The sequence below is a fragment of the Homo sapiens genome, chromosome 4 (assembly GCF_000001405.40).
Source record: "Homo sapiens chromosome 4, GRCh38.p14 Primary Assembly".
Classification (NCBI taxonomy): Eukaryota; Metazoa; Chordata; class Mammalia; order Primates; family Hominidae; genus Homo; species Homo sapiens.
This window is the reverse complement of record NC_000004.12, coordinates 107,621,710-107,640,152: the sequence shown is the minus strand read 5'-3', so window position 1 is coordinate 107,640,152 and position 18,443 is coordinate 107,621,710. Positions and strand designations below refer to the sequence as shown.

The following is an 18,443-nucleotide window of genomic DNA, read 5'->3' as shown; positions in this document are numbered from 1 at the left end:
CTGAATCTATTTTTGTGAAGGATAAATAATGCTAAGACCTGTGACGTGAAAGTGTCAAAGGTAAGATGTTTTTGAGAATGTGGATATATGTTACTAACAGCTATACCCTCGGTTTATGAAGTTTTAATGAGGATTATCAGTTGAATTTGGGGGAAAATGCAGTTGGAGGTAGAGATTATCCTTTGCTATGAAAATTACCCATGCACTGTTAATTGACTCTTTAAGAGAAACTGATTCTGTGTAAGCGAGTGGATACCCTTCACCAGGGACAGTAGAACATACTATGACATGGATGCCAGTGTGCTTGTTTAATTAGTCTGTGCTTTACACCAGTATCTGGAGCAGTGAGTAGGGTGTCTGTTAGGATATAAACTTGTTCTTCCCTCTACACACTTCCAAGAGCTCTAGCAACTGATGTTACTTCTTGAGATCTGAGTCTAATTATACAAGCCATAGACACCTAAGTTTTACTTGTACCTTTGACTCTCTTTGGGGGTCTTTGATAATTTTGTCTTCTCATTTATCTTGTTCCAAAGTTTATTGAGTAGTATGACACAGTTCACAGTCTCTTTTCCAAAATCCTTAGGATTATGTATTACTTATTTCTCCTGATGGGTCTGGGATGGTACCCCCATATTAAAGCACATTAATATTCCTGTAGCAAAGTAAATGATTTTTCTCACAAATAGGATCGGCAAAAAGGCTGGTAGAAACTTCCTCAGTTTTGATCAGGTTTTGCTACCAAGTGAGTTACAAAACTGAGTTTTAGATTTCAGAATTTTAGATAAGCAATTGTGGACCTGTACCACAAATGTATTTAGAGTGTGTTGATTTACTTTGAAAGTAATTTTGGGGATCCCTGTAGTCTGTTTTATATACTTTTAGCTTATATATGTCTTGAAAACTGAACTTATTTCATTAGGAAGCATCAGATTTTGCAGGTGTTTATAGGTTGCTTTTCATAGGGAAAAAATGTCATTTTTTTTCTCTTAATAGAGTTTCAGTTCAGAATTTGTTCTTGCTTGTTTCTTACTAAAGCAGTATCAAATTCAGATTTGTCTGTTAGTCTGATTTTTCAGGTTTTCCTGATTTCCCAGCTAGGTAATCTATACAGTTTCCTCCCTAAATGTCCTTGACACAGCGTCAGTAGCTCAGTATGAATAGGAATGTGTGGGTTTTGGGGTCACACAGACCCAGGTCCAAAGACTTGATCCTTCACTAGTTCATTTTGCAGCTAGGATATGTTATTTGAATTCTCCAAGTCCCTGTTTTCTTATTTGTAAAACAGGAATAATAACTATCTTATTGATTTGCTGTAAACATTAAATAATATTTATAAAACATTTTGTACAGTGACTGGTATATTAGGAAGAGCTTGGTAAGTGTTACCTATTTTAATTTCTTCTTCTCACCCTGTTGAAGGACCTCATGAAATACTTTCCAGTGCTTTATCACCATGGTTGCCTTCCTCTGTTTTCTTAGAATAATAATCAGTGGGAGGGCAGAGAGCCTCTTGAGGGTCCCTGGGTTTGGGAGGCAGGAAGAGGAGGTGGAGGCTGAGCATTTCCAGGCTTGTTGTCTCCACTCTGAGCCCCCACTCTGGGAGGGCTGATACTGTTCTCACCTGACTAGGGGTCTGGGGTCAGCCAGGGCAAGGTCACTTCCAAGAATAAAATTAGTTTGGTTGCTGGTTGTTCTGAAAAAAATGCAGCTCTTACATTTGAGGTATATCTTTTTGGAGATTGAGAGATTATCCTTAAAGGAAATTTTGGGGAAATTCTGTGTATCTTGTATTGGGCCTCATATACGAAATGAAGAATTCAGACTCCATGATGTAGACTGCCTTTCAGCTCTTAAAATTGTATGAGAGTTTTTGTAAGGTATGTTTAATTCTTTCCTACAAGATGAAGAATGAAATGTCCAAGTATATTTCATAATTTTTGCATTGCAAACTAGAAATGTGACTCTCATGAGACTACTGTTCAGTACCAGTACAGAGTAATAGAACTTAATTGAAACACTTAGAATATCAGTTTTATTAATACAAAGAAGACCAAAAGCCACAGTATCAGGAATCTGTATGATGGGAGGATGAGCCTCACCTTTCACTTGCCTGTGTAGATTGTTCCAGTCAGCTTGAAGAGTTTAAAATAATTCCTATCTCTGGAAAATCAAGAGGCAGGCCACTATGATTTGGGAATTTCAAGAAAACATATTAATGCTAGATAATGTACAACTAAGATTAGGGATATTTTAATATGGAACTCATGAGATTAATTAAGGTATAGATTTTTTACACAGCAAAATTAGGTAATGCACTTGACTTCCTAAAGAATTTTTATAGCATTAACACAACCAATGTTTTTGACAGTCTAGAAAATAATATTCAAACATTTACTAAAAAAATAGTTTCTGTGCCTGATGTTCTTTTATAAACACTTTGAGAATATAAAGTTGGCCTTATAGAATATTGACTTTAATAAAATTTATTACACTTAAATAAATGCAGATTTTGGTGTGAAGATATAAAGAAATAAGCCACTTAAGTGGGACTTAAATTTTAATTGTTCAATTCATTATTCTCAGTATTTTTAATTCAGAAAAATTGAAAATATCATATATCTAATCTGCCAGATTTCTGGAACAGTGAAATTTCTCAACCGTCAGGTGTGGGGAGAGAATGGTTTAGTGGTAGTGGTATTATATGTAAGCAGTATAGTCCATTTTATAATTTTATAATGTAATTAAATTTGAAAAGTAGGTTTTTAATTTGTTTTTGTTTTAGAAACTAATGAAAATAAAATTTACCGAAGTCTTTGCCAGGTTTGGAAGTGGGGAGATAAGTGATAGACAGTATTTTCAAATGGATTTGGAACAAATGAGATTTTCAGGTTTATAAAAAGGGGCATGAATTAAAAGGTTAAGAAACTCTTCTCAATAACATGCCATATTGGGATGAATCTAGAACAATTCTAACTCTGAAGGATTTTATATTATAAATGTGTGTGGAGGTAAGTAACTGAGGTTCTTATCCATCAGCGATCATTGACTTATTAGTCATGTGGTATCTTAACCTATGATGGATGGCAAGGAGAAACCATTATAGAACTAAAATTTTCATAGATAAATTTTTTTAAAGCATTGGCTATAATTTGGATCAGAAACTACTTTCCTATTCTCACTATTAGATAGTAAACTTAACTAATTCTTACTTGTTTGACTCACACTATGGAGATTAAGTAAAAATTTGAGTAAACCTTAGCTCCACAAATGTCTTTGGGAAGGAAATTTTGAAACAAATAATCTGTTTATTTTAATTACAGTTATTTATTTTTAGTAGCCCATGTTCTGCCTTCCATTTTGATAAGACAATTCTGAAACCCTGTCTAATGGTGAAATGAGATAATTATGGAACCTAAGTATTATTTATTTGAATTTGGTCCTCCTGTCCTCCCCTGCTTTTTCATTTTCTCGAACAAGGCAGTGTGGAAATTTTGTACCACACAGTGAATCAGGTGTACACTAGGGATTCCATTATTCTGTTTCCGGAGTGTTAAGCCCTGCCTTACACTCCAGAGTGTTACCCCCTTTGATTTCTTAGAATTCATACTTCCCATCACTCTCATTCCTCGTCTTCCTTGAGTTGCACGCTTCTGCTGTCGTTTCACTAGTAAGCGAATTCAACGAGTGATTTTCCAAAATCAGATTCTCTAGGGCATGATGATTGTGTTAGAGATCAAGGCCTAGAACGTTTGTTTCGTTTCTCCCCAACATTTCTATTATGTATTTTGTATCGTAAAACTGCTTCTTAACCTTCCTATATTATAAATACCTTCTTATGTTAATTTAAATATTGATCTTTTTTTAAATGATGGCACAGTTCCCTGCTGTTTAGGAATTTAATTCAATAACAACACCCAATTGAAGGATCTTTGAGTTAGTTTCTGTCTTTTGACAACCCGTAATGAATCCTGAAATGAACCTTTTTTGCATATTTGCCTCACAATATTTCTGGAATTGAAATTGCTTGGGTTGTTTGACATGTTATCAAAATCTTGACTTTCGGATATCTTATACCCAGTTTTCTTTCACATAAGCAGAGCAAAGTAGTATAATACTGTTTAAAAAGGTAATCACTGTGCACTCACATGCCTGCTTTGTCACTGACTTTGAAATACTGGAAGCTTGAAAGTTTGTGACTGACAAGATAAACAGAGAAGCACACTTACTAAGCCAGGGGTCTCTGTGTACCTATGTCACCAAGTCCATGAAACACCACAGCTTCCAGAAAATGCAACTGTTGTGCTATTTCGGGTGATAAGAATATTTTAAAGTCTTATAAAGTAATGTTTATTACATAATTTTTTAGTTTCATGGTCCCAGCATGTAGATTATTCTTTCTGTAAGGCTATTACCAGCATATAAATTTATGTTAGTGGTTTTATTTATTTATTTATTTATTTTTTAAGTGGTTTTATTTTTAAAATGTTAACTCACTGGTCACATCCTATTTTTTCTCCTTTTTGTTTCCTATAATTGCCTCACTTTATCATAAAAACAGTTTGTAGGAGATTGGAAGTATGTAGAGGAAAGCAGTCCTTATTTGCTCCACCTATTTCCTTTAATTATTGGCCTGCGTTTAAATGCAGAGGTCATTGAATTGACATGTTGGATGAGCATCTTCTTGGCTTTGTTGATGACAAAAAGAATCATATTTGTGGAAATATTTTTCTCTTTAATTCTTTTAGTTTATTTTAAGCTGTACCCTAGTGAAAAAAGATCAGCAAATGTATACCATATTAATGCTTGGGAATAAAATACAGTATAAAAGTTAAGATTTTTTTCCCTCGAGTTTTTTCTCTCACTTTTTGTTTTTAGCAGTCATCTTTAGGGAACTTGTCTTTTTCAAACAGTAGGTTTCTTTGGTCAGGGAACTGGAAATTGATGAAGTCTATCTAAAAAAGTGTATTCATGTTTTAGTCAAGGCTAATAGAATATAAAAAATAAGGAAAAATAAAACATTTTAGAAAAAACTTTAAAAATATGTCTAGAATAGGCCAAGCGCGGTGGCTCACGCCTGTAATCCTGGCACTTTGGGAGGCCAAGGCGGGCGGATCACAAGGTCAGGAGATCGAGACCATCCTGGCTAACACGGTAAAACCCCGTCTCTACTAAAAATACAAAAAAATTAGCTGGGCGTGGTAGCGGGCGCCTGTAGTCCCAGCTACTCGGGAGACTGAGGCAGGAGAATGGTGTGAACCCAGGAGGCGGAGCTTGCACTGAGCCGAGATCGTCACTGCACTCCAGCCTGGGCGACACAGCGAGACTCCATCTCAAAAAAAAAAAAAAAAAAAATGTCTAGAATATTGTAGAAATTTTAGATCTTGTGAATATTTTTTGCAAAATTTAGACATCTTTTAATTTTTTTTCCAACTTGTGTAATGTATACAAAATCTTATGGTTCATATACTTTGGAATACATTTAAGCAATGTGAGTTAGGAACCCTATGAACCAAATTAGGTAAAATATGAGCTACATTTTAAGAAATGTATTTCTTTGGGTTTATTTTAAATGATGTGTAGATAACATATCTTGTTAATTTTGTTGGTAAATTTGAACCTTAATAAAATGATCCACCATTTACTTGGAAAAAGTAAAACATGGTGGGAATGTAAATTAATATTACTTCCTAAAAATGTCTTGCATGAACCTCAGATGCACAGAATTGGATTAATCATTATCTGTGGTACGTGATGCCTTGTCATTAGCCCCTGAATTAATTGCTCTTCTTAATCTTGATTATGTATGTATTTGTTATTTTTAAAAACTATTTAATGGCCAGGCACGGTGGCTTACACCTGTAATCCCAGCACTTTGGGAGGCTGAGGTGGGAGGGTCATTTCAGCACGGGAGTTCAAGACTAGCCTGGGGAACATGGCAAGACCTTGTCTCTACAAAAAATAAAAAATAGCCAGGCATGGTGGCGCATCTCTGTGGTCCCAGCTGCTTGGGAGGCTGAGATGGGAGGATTGCCTGAGCCCGGGAGGCTGAACCTGCAGTAAACCATTTTTGCACCACTGCACTCCAGCCTGAGTGACAGAGTAAGACCCTGTCTCAAAACCAATAAACAGACTATTTAATGAACAACATAGAATTGCTGCTAATTTGATAAGTATGACTTATAATCTAGCAGGTACTGCTACCAATCCCATTCTTTTTTTTTTTTTTTTTTTGAGACGGAGTCTCGTTCTTTCGCCCAGGCCGGACTGCAGTGGTGCTATCTCAGCTCACTGCAAGCTCCGCCTCCCGGGTTCACGCCATTCTCCTGCCTCAGCCTCCCGAGTAGCTGTGACTACAGACACCCGCCACCACACCCGGCTAATTTTTTGTATTTTTAGTAGAGATGGGGTTTCACCGTGTTAGCCAGGATGGTCTCAATCTCCTGACCTCGTGATCTGCCCGCCTCAGCCTCCCAAAGTGCTGGGATTACAGGCATGAGCCACTGTGCCCAGCCACCAATCCCATTCTTTTTACGCTGCCATTTCCATCATCCACCACCCCCCACCCCAGATAATCTCTGTCCTGAATTTTGTATTTTTTCCCTTATCTTTACACACATACACACACAGTTTTATTATTATGTTAAACTGTGTGGTCATGAAGCAGGTTAGAGCAAGGTACACAGAAACCTGGCAAAGCTATGCAAGTGGAAAAAAATCAAGGTAATCATTAACTCTAGGAAAAACAGTTGTGCAAAAAGGGGATTAAAATAGAGATAATAGTGGCTAATATTTCTTGTATATTTACTGTGTGCCAGGTATTATTCTAAGACCTCACATGTTTCATTTATTAATTTTCTTAAAACTTCTATGAGATAAATACTATTATAATCCTCACTTTACAGATGAATATTGATTTCATCAAAAATGTTGATATCACTGTACCTGTTGGGGAATAAGAACCTCATTAAATACTCGAATATGGTAGGAAGTCTAAGTGATGTGGAAATAAGGTCTATGTTATATACTATGTAAAATTAAACAGTCATAACAAAGTGTAAGCATGCTGTTTGAAAACATGCAGGCAAACATCAGTAGAAACAACTTAAAAAGTTGAAACCCCTCAGGGTGAACAATTCAAGTGTGAGGTATGGAATTGCACTCTTACTATTGCACTTTCTAAACTATGTTGGTAAATAGATAAGTACCTGGTATGCAGGAGATTACCAGGAGAGAGAAAATGAAAACAAAACAATAAAAGATGATTTGGTTATTTATGTGTAGTGGTTATCATTTATACCTTATTTTAATATGGAACAGTGATGGTTTTATAAATTATTAAATAATGGAGACTTACACTGAAAGGAAGCTAAAACCAAATTTCTAGGCCTGAGTTTATCCTAAACTTTATTGGCCAGTCATTTAACCTTTCGGGGGCTTCACTTTCTTCAAATTTTATGGAGAATGTTGAACTAGAGATGATCTTTTACTGTCACTTTAAATTCTAAAGTTTCATTATTCTAGGTATTAGACTAATTTTTGTTTTTTAATAATAGGTCTTACTAGGCCTGAAACTAGAGGCTTCAAGGCTAGTTTTGGATGCAGCATGGCCGTTTACTCACAACCAATCTTTTTTTTTTTAACTAGTATTAGGCATATGTTATAAGATTAGTTATATATTAGTTATACGATTTTCTCAGTACTAGTTTATGTAAGTACCTACATGTCATTTTTATCCAACAGGGTTTTTTTTTTAACCTGTTAAAGTATAATATACAGAAAAGTTCATAAATTATAAGTGTGTATATATCTCAATGAACTTTTACAGTGAGCACACCCTAATTACCAGCACCCAGATACTGGATCAAGAAACAGAGCATTACCATGATTCCAGAAGCTCCTTGCAGTTGCCTCCCTCCAGGGATCAGCCATTATCCTGACTTCTAACCTCATATATTAGATTTTGAGCTGTGTAAATGGCATCTGGTAGTTGTGTAAAATCAAACATCTAGACACATGTATGTTTACATATATCTTATAAGTAATACATAAATATATATACATATATATCCATAAATATTTGTGGATATATGCTTTTAATCTTTTGGTTTGGGGGAGGTTTTTGTTTTTTGTTAGTTTTGTTTCTGGCTTCCCAGGATGATACATCTAAATTTGTTGAGATTTCCTACCGATAATGATTTTATAAAAAGCATATGCATTTATTATCCACTTACTATTTCTAAGTACATAGTCATAAAAGCAAAGTTACCTAAAATGAAACTTTTATTCTAGGTCCAGTGGCATTGCAGAGCACGGATGGTTGCAGGAGCCAACTTTTACATTGTTGGACGAGACCCTGCTGGCATGCCTCATCCAGAAACAGGGAAGGATCTTTATGAGCCAAGTCATGGTGCCAAAGTGCTGACGATGGCCCCTGGTTTAATCACTTTGGAAATAGTTCCCTTTCGAGTTGCAGCTTACAACAAGAAAAAGAAGCGTATGGACTACTATGACTCTGAACAGTAAGTCTTACATTCTCTGTACAAATCTTTGAAGTACTTCGTGGTCTAGCTGCTCCCAGGGATTTAGCTTATTGTCTAATCTTTACTGATGACAGGTTTTGTGGTACTCATGTCAGAGAAAGGTAAACCCAGAAAAGTAATTTCCCAACATTCTGGAAATTAGAAGTAGAAATAAAACTTGAATCTAGTTTCATGGTTTCAGGAATTTTGTTTTGAAGTCTGTAAGGACAATATTGTTATTTCTCTGCCTACTGTGTCTGCTATAGCTTACTGAGCATAACTAGTTTGAGGACTTAGTGATGTTTACTCTGGTAAGCCCAGGGAGTCTATGTATGGAGAGAGAATTTAGCTAATATTTGTGCAATCACTATGTGACAGGCAATGTCCTAATTATTTACAAGTATTAAATTATTTATAGGTTGTGTATCCCTTGTATGAAATGCTTGGGGCCAGAAGTGTTTTTGATTTTGGATTCCTTCAGATTTTGGAATATTTGAATATTTGAATGAGGTACCTTGGGGATGGGACTCAATTCTAAACATGAAATTCATTTATGTTTCAAATATACCTTATATGTATAGCCTGGAGGTAACTGTATACAATATTTTACATAATTTTGTGCATGAAACAATTTGTGTACATTGAGCCATCAGAAAGCAAAGGTGTCAGAGATGGAATTTTCCACTTTTGTCATGTTGGTGCTCAAAAATTTTCAGATTTTGGAGTATTTTGGATTGTGGATTGGGGTGCTCAACTTGTATTTTCCACAACAATCTCTAAAGTAGGTGCTGTTACCTCCATTTTGTAGGTGAGTATCTAGAGGCATACAAAGGCTAAGTAGCTTGTATAAGGTCACAGGACTAGTAAATGGCAGCTCAGCAGATGAACCCAGGCAGTCTGGTTTTAGAGTCTGTGGTCTTAATCATTAACAGCACAACTTCTGTCTTCAAAGATCTTAGGAAGAGCAAAAAAACCCAAGCTTTTAGTACAAATTATTGGTAGTATTGAACATTGTATTTATCCGTTTTCACAGTGCTATAAAAAACGACATGAGACTGGATAATTTGTAAACAAAAGAGGTTTAATTGACTCACGGTTCTGCATGGCTGGGGAGTGAAGGAGAAGCAAAGCACGATTTACATGGCCACAGGAAAGAGAACAAAGTGGGGAAGTGCCACACTTTTAAACCGTCAGATCTATGAGAACTCACTATCTTGTAAACAGCATGGGGGAAACTGCACCCATGATCTAATCACCTTCCACCAGGTTCCTCCCCTGACATGTGGGGATTATAATTCAAGATGGAATTTGTGTGGGAACACAGAGCCAAACTATATCAAACATACGTGAGGGGACTTCAAAAAGTTTGTGGAAAATGGAATTAAAACATAAAAATAAAAAATGTAAACTTTATTTCTTAACATAAGCTCCATCAAGATCAGGACACTTTTGTGAGTGATGATACCAGTCATTTAATCCATTCCTGAAGGATGAGGGTATCTGGAGATCTGGAGACTAGGGATAAAAAAGAACCAAGGGTCCTGGGAATTTAACCATGTCAATGTAGTCTTTTTTGACTGAAGAAAAATGGGTGCCCCTTAAAGATTTTTTAAGATTAGGAAATGAAGCCAGAAAGAGCCAAATTAGGACCTTAGAGGTGGATGCCTAATAATGTCCCATTGAAATTCCTGTAAAATTGCCCTTGTTTGATGAGAGGAATGAGCAGGAGCATTGCCATGGTGGAGAGGGACTCTCTGGTGAAGCTTTCCTGGGCGTTTTTCCACTAAAGATTTGGCTAACTTTCTCAAAACATTCTCATAATAAGTAGATGTTATTGTTCTTTGGCCCTCCAGAAAGTCAACAAGCAAAATGCCTTGAGCATCCCAAAAAACTGTTTCCACGACCTTTGCTCTTGACTGGTTCACTTTTGCTTTGACTGGACCACTTCTGCCTCTTAGTAGTCATTGCTTGGTTGTGCTTTATTTTCAGGATTGTGCTCGTAAAGCCACGTTTGATCTCCTCCCTCAGTTCTTACCAGGATCTTGATCCCACTTGTTTAAAATGTCCATTGAAAGCTTTGCTCTTGTCTGCAGCTGATCTGGGTGTAGTGGTTTTGGCACCAGTCAAGTGGAAAGTTTGCTCAACTTTAATTTTACAGTCAGAATCGTGTAAGCCAAACCAACTGAGATGTCTATGGTGTTGGCTTTTGTCTCTACTATCAAAATTGTTGGTCCTGGGCATGGGCAAGATTAATTTCTTCCTTGAAAATTTATGTGGTCTGCCACTATGGGCATCATCTCCAACATCATTTTGTCCCTTCTTAAAATGTAAACTGCTGATTTCTTTGGGACATTATCCCCATAAACTATTGCTGAAGCATCAGTGATTTCACCATTCTTTTTACCCAAGCTTAACCATAAAGTTGATGTTTGTTCTTGCTTCAGTTTTAGCAGAACTCATATTGCCCTGATAGGGGCTCTTTTTCAAACTGATGTCTTACCCTTCTTAGTGCCTCAAACTAGATCCTGTTCAGACATGTTATAATCAGTTAGTGTGAGTTTATTTTGGTGAAAAATGGAAATCCATGCATAGTTGTTTTTGATAATGAACATTTTCCATGAACCTTTTGGAGGCCCCTTGTATCTGTCTCTCTTTGACTGACAGAATTGTATTAACTTTCATCTATAGGTAGTACACTCTGTAAGTTTAAAGTGGTAGTGTGAAGCTGTAAACTCTGAAGTTGTGGGTTATAGCCCTGTCCTTGCTATATAACTTGAGAGTCCTGTCTTCTCTGCCCTGTTTCCTTGTCTCTGGAATAAAGGCAGTGGACAGGGTGATTCCCTCTTAGCCCAAAATGTGTAGCTCTTTGCATTATCTATAGCACCTAGTTATTTTTACACCTTAGTAGGTACTTGTACATATGAAATGTTTTGTGCTTGACCTTTATTTAGTATACCTGCTCTTTTAGTACAAATCACAATCCACATTCAGCAAGCAAACAGATAATACAACAAGCAAAACAGATAATTTTTTTAATTTACATTTTTATCAGTGTCAGCTCTACTGACATGTGCTAATTGGAAATTGACTATGGCCTAGTAACCATTAGTCTGAAAGCTGCCATCCTTTCCCATGATACTTCATAGTTGGTTCCCCATTTAGGAATAATGTAGCCCTGACCCTGTGTCCTCATTTTTATGGCTCATTTTGTAATAGTGGGGACAGAAGAGAAAAAGAAACCTTTAAAAAATTAAAACAACATTCTCTTGTTTCTAAAATGGATGTAGTTTGTTGTCATTTGATTTATTTGAAATAAATGATAAGTTGTCTGGAGAAAGAAATACTATTATTACCAGTGGAGATTGGGAGATGTTAGGTTTCTCATTAATGACAGAAATAATTCTGGAGACAATGCATACTTTTAGATGACAGCAGACTTTTCTGAGCGATGAACTGTAGCTAAAATGCAGGAAAGTCTTATGAGAGTGAATGAACAGAAAAGGCAAGTGTAAAAGGACTCCTGACTATTCCCTATATAATTCAAGACGGAAGATATTCTAGTTTATATTTTCTGAAGATCTGAAATGTGGCCCAGATTCTAGTATACTTCTGAACCACACCAAAAGAAAAATTTGCAACAAACTAGAACATTTTTACCCTTGTACAAAATTAGGTTTGTAAACATTTAGAAAAAGTTCTAAATCATGTGGGATTTTGTTTGCCTTTAAAAGAAATATGTATCTGTATGTATGTGTATATATACTATATATGTACACCTAGTACGATTTCACTGTCTAAAAAGTGCAACTGTAAAAGCGGTGTGCTGAGAGTTATAAAAGGATTTTTTCTACCAATGGACCTTTTCTACCAAAAGGATGCCTTAAAATTTTTTTAAGAAAAAAAGAATAAAAAGAAATTGTAGTAAACCTTGAACTGCTTTACCACAAAAGGTGATTAAAACTTTAAAATATAAATTGATTATTAAGGGAAGTAAAAAAGTTTTGAGTACAGTTCTGCCCTTTTATGGTAGGCCATTGTCAAAAATTCTAATTTACTTAGTCTGGGGAGAGGCCCTATAATTTGTAGTTCTTTTAAAAGCTCCCCACTTTAAAACCACTAAAAAAGGGTAGCAGTGCCTTCCTACAGATCTATAAAACATACAATGTCAGGTGAAATGCTGGGCCCAGAAACCTTTTGCTTCTCACCTAGCATGAGATTTATTTAGTTTGTGTATAAGGGATTATGAACACAATCTTGTTCTGAGCGTTAGGATTAACTTCCTTAAGTTGCTAATATAGTGGCAAGGGAGAGCAAGGAGAGGGAAATAAAATTATTCTGCTAATGGCTAAATGCTTAAAACTTAGGTGAATTTCCATTTTGATGAGTTATGAAAACCAAACTAAAAAGAGTTGAGCTTTTCTTTTACACTTCTTGTGCCAAAATGTTTCATTACTGTGGTCTCTTTGCATGATCAGTTGGTTTAATCACACGCAGGACCCTAAACCCCATCTGTATGTAGTTGACTGATGTGCTGGTAAGCCTTTGGTAACTTTGATGTTTGGTTAAATAACTGTGTAGTATTGCTTTAAGTCTCTCTTTTAATCATTCAAAAGCTAAATAATTACATCAGTTCTCTTAAGATTTTCCAAAGATGAATTCTATATTAGTTGCATGAGTGGCTCATTTTCTTGGAATTTTTTGGGGGTTACCAAATCTTAATAAGTAATAACTGGGGAAGCTTTAAAACTGCCTTAGTTTTCTAACTTTTTGTGTTTGTGTTCAAAAATAATTAAGTTGATGGTAATACGTTGGAAAGTGATTAAAATTTTGTGGAAAGGTGATAGCATTTGATGTAGTGAGAAAACAGTTATTAATTATGCACAGATGAGGTTGTCTTTTGTTTGATTAATGGATGTTACTCAGCGCCAGGTTTTATGTAATTAATGAATTTGTTTTGTTTTTTATTTGATTAAATACCAATGTAAGACAATGCTTAGGAGAAAAGAAACAAACTTTATGAAGATTTCAGGCAAAACGTTGTTGATAAGAATTATGATAAAAATCATCTGTTTATATTTAGAAAGTTAAGGAGGTTCAAATTAGTTATAATAGGCACTAAAGGAAATTTAGTTTTAGGACTACAAGATTAAAGTCCATTCTTTCAGAAATTGCAAATAAACTTTTAGAGGTAATTCAGTTATCTTATTTGTATTTTTTCCCCTCTGTTATAATGTAAGTCTTTATATTAGGGTAGATAGATACAGGATTATTCAGATTAGTGAAATAGTAAACTCAAAAAGCAGACAGTACACACGAGTGAGAGTGCCTTGTGGAAATGGGTAAATGAATGGGCAGGTGGACATAAATGCCTGTTATCTGGTTATTTCCACATTTTCAGTAGAGTATTTCTTTCATGTTTTTGATGCCAGAGTATACTTTTTTTTTTTTTTTTTGAGACAGAGTCTCACTCTTTTGCCCAGGCTGGAGTGCAGTGGTGCTATCTCGGCTCACTGCAAGCTCTGCCTCCCTGTTTCACGCCATTCTCCTGCCTCAGCCTCTCGAGTAGCTGGGACTCCCAGCGCCTGCCACCGCGCCCGGCTATTTTTTTTTATTTTTAGTAGAGATGGGGTTTCACTGTGTTAGCCAGGATGGTCTCGATCTGACCTTGTGATCCACCTGCCTCGGCCTCCCAAAGTGCTGGGATTACAGGCATGAGCCACCGCGCCCGGCCCAGAGTATACTTTAAATAATGTACTGTTAGTGTCATTTTTAAAAAACACTCTAACTGTAGGCATCCTTCAAGGCTTTTTCAGATATACTTTCCATGGGAGAGGTCATCCGTTCCTGTGGTTTCTGTGGGGGTGATTTTTAAACCTGTACATCAGTGTTTCCCAGTTGTATTAGTTTTTCGTTGTTGCGTAACAAAGCACCACTTAAAGTAACACCCATTTATTACCTCATGCATGGTTCTTTAGGTCAGAAGACTGGGTGTGCTTGACAGGGTTCTCTGGCCAGGTTGGGTTCTTATCTGAAGGCTCTGAAAGGAATCCACTGTCAGACTGAACCCTGTTATTAGCCGAGTTCAGTTCCTTCTAGTTACAGAACTGAAGTCCTTGTCTTCTTACTGGCTATTGGCTGAGCATTGCTGTCTGCTCCTAGAGGCCACTTTTGGTCTTTTTTTGTGGGCTGCTTCATCTCAGCAGTAGAACCTCCCTCATGTTGCATCCCTGTCATGCCTCAGATCTCTCTGACTTCCCTTCTGCTACAAGACAGGAAAATTTGAGTGATTAGCTTAGGGCCACGCAGATAATTTTGCTGTTTTAAGGTCAACTGATTAGTAACTTTAATTGTATCTGCAAAATCTCTTTTGCCATGCAATAACATAGGATGGTAATAACACTGGGGACAAAGGTCATTGGGGCTATGTTAGAATTCTGCCTGCCACACTAGTGAACATTTCTACTTAGATTTCTTGCTTCTTTGATTTCTTTCTAAATTTATTTCTTCTTCAGCCATTTCTTAAAATGGCCAAAACCAGCTTTACCTTTACCCTCATAATATCCCCAAATCCTACATTTCTTTAGTTACTTCTTATTCGCACTATATAGAACCTTAAAGTCCTTTATCCTTTTCCCTCACTCTTCATAGCCGAGTCTTATCAAGTTGACCACTGAAACGTTTCTTGTGTGAATTCTTTCCTTTCCCTTTCTTGCCACAGTCTTTGCAATACACAAGTATTTCTGTTAGAGTATTGGGAAACTGTCTTTTCTGTTAATTCATAAAATGCCTTGTTTTTATTAATTTTGATGTTTCGTCTGAATACATGTAGAGTCTGACTATAACTGCGTGAATTTACCAATGAGTCTCATCCTGTATTTGTTAATTTTGCACATACTTTATAGTGGGGAGTTGCTTCATGATCATTAATAGATAAGACCTAATTTAAACTCTATCATATTGTCTTCTAGTATGCATTTGAATTATAATTAGGTATAGTATAACTATGTATATTTTTGAAAATCAAATTATATATTTTATATATACTGGATCTTGTATTGAGGTCAATATATTCTATTGAAATTAGTACAAAACTTTGACTTTACTTTGCATTATTCATTTATTAATTTCTTATGGAGTCTTTACTATTTGCAAATAGTTTGCTTGCAAGCCATTGCTAGGTTGTAGGTACTATAGTTGGAAACAGGCAGATATTGTCATTGCCCTTATGGAACTTAAATTCTAGGAAAGAAGACAGATAGTAAACCACTGACCATACAATTGAAGATGGTAAGTACTTGGCAGAAGACTGTGGGAAACGCAGTTAGCACTTGCTTGACCAAGCCTGAGGTACCGGGGATAGGTTCCTGGAGTAAGTGATGTTTGCACTAAGCTCCAAAAGATGAGTCAGCACTCCTTTGATGAAGAAGGGAATAATAGTATTCTGGACAAAAGGATCTGTGCATGTCAAGGTCTTGGGTGAGAAGGATCATAGAGGGTTAAACAGAGTGAGGTAGAACAGAGTCAAAGGAGGATGATGAGATATTCAGGAGCCAGATAAGGCAGTTCTTGAAAGGTAGGAGCTGGAGTTGATAAGAATTTTTAAAAGATGGTGGTGTGACTGTATGGATTGGTTATAAAAAATTTGGGTTTCTGGTAAAGAGGTAGGTTAGATTTAACAGATTGCCTTTCTGAAGAAATTAAAAATGCTGGATTAAATGAAACATTTTCATAAAAGTATTGTGGATCTGACAAGATGATGATAAGAACTGTGAGGCCAAAACCAGTAAGCGAATGCTGAAAATTCACATAAGCTGAGCGTTGAAGCTGCTTTTGCCCTGGTAAAACTAACAAACTTGAGAGTATTGATTTTCAATGCCTCATAGTGTAGATGGGGATAGAAAATACAACTCTGCCCATGATCAAGGTGGAGAGCCCAACAGGAGACACTCCCATTCAGTTGAGACTCCCTGCTGCCTTAATTAAGTGTAAGGGAGAACCTGAAATGAACCCAGTTCCTTCTCCTGTTCTAGGAGACTGTGAGCAGGACATTCTACTTTAAGCTCGAAAGCTGAAAGCTCTGCTCAAATGGGCCAGACTTACATTACCTGGGTGATATTAAAACAAACAAACAAAAAACCCTCAAGTCATGAAATTAGTTTTTTGTGGTTCTTAAGTAGGCAGGCCTCTAAGCATTCAGCAGAAGCAAACATAAACTCTTCCTAGAGCAGCACATCAGTGTCCTAGGTCTCGACTTACTCCTATAAATATTTATATATACTTAATGAACAGTTTTAGTCAAAAATGACAAAGGATACAAGGCAACAAAGCACCATAAGCAAGAAAAAAAATGGAAACTACAGTCAGCAGAAGCAGACCTGCAGAGACTTCACATGTTAGAATTACCAGATATAGATTACAAAGTCAGTATACTTGTAGTGTTTGTAAAACCAAGGACAAGTGTGAAAGTATCCACATGGAACATAAAAGTTATAAAAGTGACCCAAAAGTTTAGAAAAGAGAAAGACAGGGAGGTCAGTGTGTAGGCATGTATCAGTATCATATGGGTGGGTTGCAATGGGCAGACTGGAGGAAGTGGCTTGACTTCAAAGCATCTTCAGGAGGCACAGTCAGTAGGACTTGTAGTATAATTGTTATATTAAATGAAGGCTGTTTTGCTTTTTCTTATCAAATACATAAATCTACTCACCTCCCCCATTTCAAAACAAAACCAATTTAGTTCAGTATCCTCTTTTGTAATTCCACAGGTAATGGGCAGAGAGTTTTAATGGAAGGAACTGTAGGTATAAAAGTGTGATGGAATTAGTGAAGGGTTCGTGTTTCACACACCATCATTATTGTGTACAATTTAAATTTTCTGTAACAGCAAATATTTTGATTCCAAAAGTGTTCTGATGGCAAGAGTCTGCTTCTACATTTCGTAAAGCAGTTAATAAAAGATTTTGTGTATTTTGCTCCCTTTAGAATATTATTCAACAATAGAAGATGATACATTCTACCTAGTTTTTATGGCAAACTTTCTTTAATCAGTAATGCAACAGATGACATGGAAATATGCATTATTTGTTTTATCTTTTCATAAGCCCCTCTTTTGAAACCATTGTAGGGAGGTGAGAAGCTTACATTTTCTGGAAATAAAATAAAAGTGATTTTTTTCTCTTAGTGGTTGATACTAGGAATGATAGATAAGACACCATTAAAGAGATGTTATTATGGTATTTTTGGTATAAAACCCAGCAATACCTATATGCTGCTCTTAGTCAACTATAGTATCTGGGAGAAAGAAGGGAGGGGGAAGGGGAGATATGCATGGAGCAGTAAACAGCAATTGAAGACAGAGCAGTACTCTTGGGCTTTGCCCCCAGTGTGGAATTCTAGTGAGCTGGAATCGACTACGTTGAAGACATTTTTTTTAATGCCAGGAAGCCAAAGTAGCTTTGAACCCAAAGCAGGACAAAGGTCATTTTCTCTTTCTCTAAAGCCCTGATGGGGTTTGACCACTCTTGTAAAGTATCAGTACCAGAGAAAAAGTAAAAAGAGCAAATGAGACAGTTCCTGAATGAGTATTTTCCCTAATGCATATGTAGAGCAGTCCAGGTCTCCCCATACAAGTGCCCTTGATGTCCTCCAGTGGAAGAAAAATAGGTCCCAGCCATTTGTGCTCACTCTGAAAAACCTGTCTTCCGGCTGGGCGCGGTGGCTCACGCCTATAATCCCAGCACTTTGGGAGGCTCAGGCGGGTGGATTACGAGGTCAGGAGATCAAGACCATCCTGGCTAACACGGTGAAACCCCGTCTCTACTAAAAAAAAATACAAAAAAAAAATTAGCCAGGCGTGGTGGCAGGCACCTGTAGTCCCAGCTACTCGGGAGGCTGAGGCAGGAGAATGGCGTGAACCTGGGA

At 36.6% G+C, this 18,443-nt stretch overlaps 1 protein-coding gene across 3 annotated transcripts in view; it reads left to right on the top strand.

The window, feature by feature from the left end:
• PAPSS1 (3'-phosphoadenosine 5'-phosphosulfate synthase 1) overlaps positions 1-18,443 on the top strand; it is a 106,569-nt gene that overhangs the window by 80,082 nt on the left and 8,044 nt on the right. For all 3 annotated transcript variants that reach the window (NM_005443.5, XM_011532401.2, XM_011532400.3), the window contains exon 11: positions 8,293-8,522. In NM_005443.5, coding sequence (NP_005434.4) covers positions 8,293-8,522 — 230 coding nt within the window. The remainder of the gene's footprint in view (positions 1-8,292; positions 8,523-18,443) is intronic.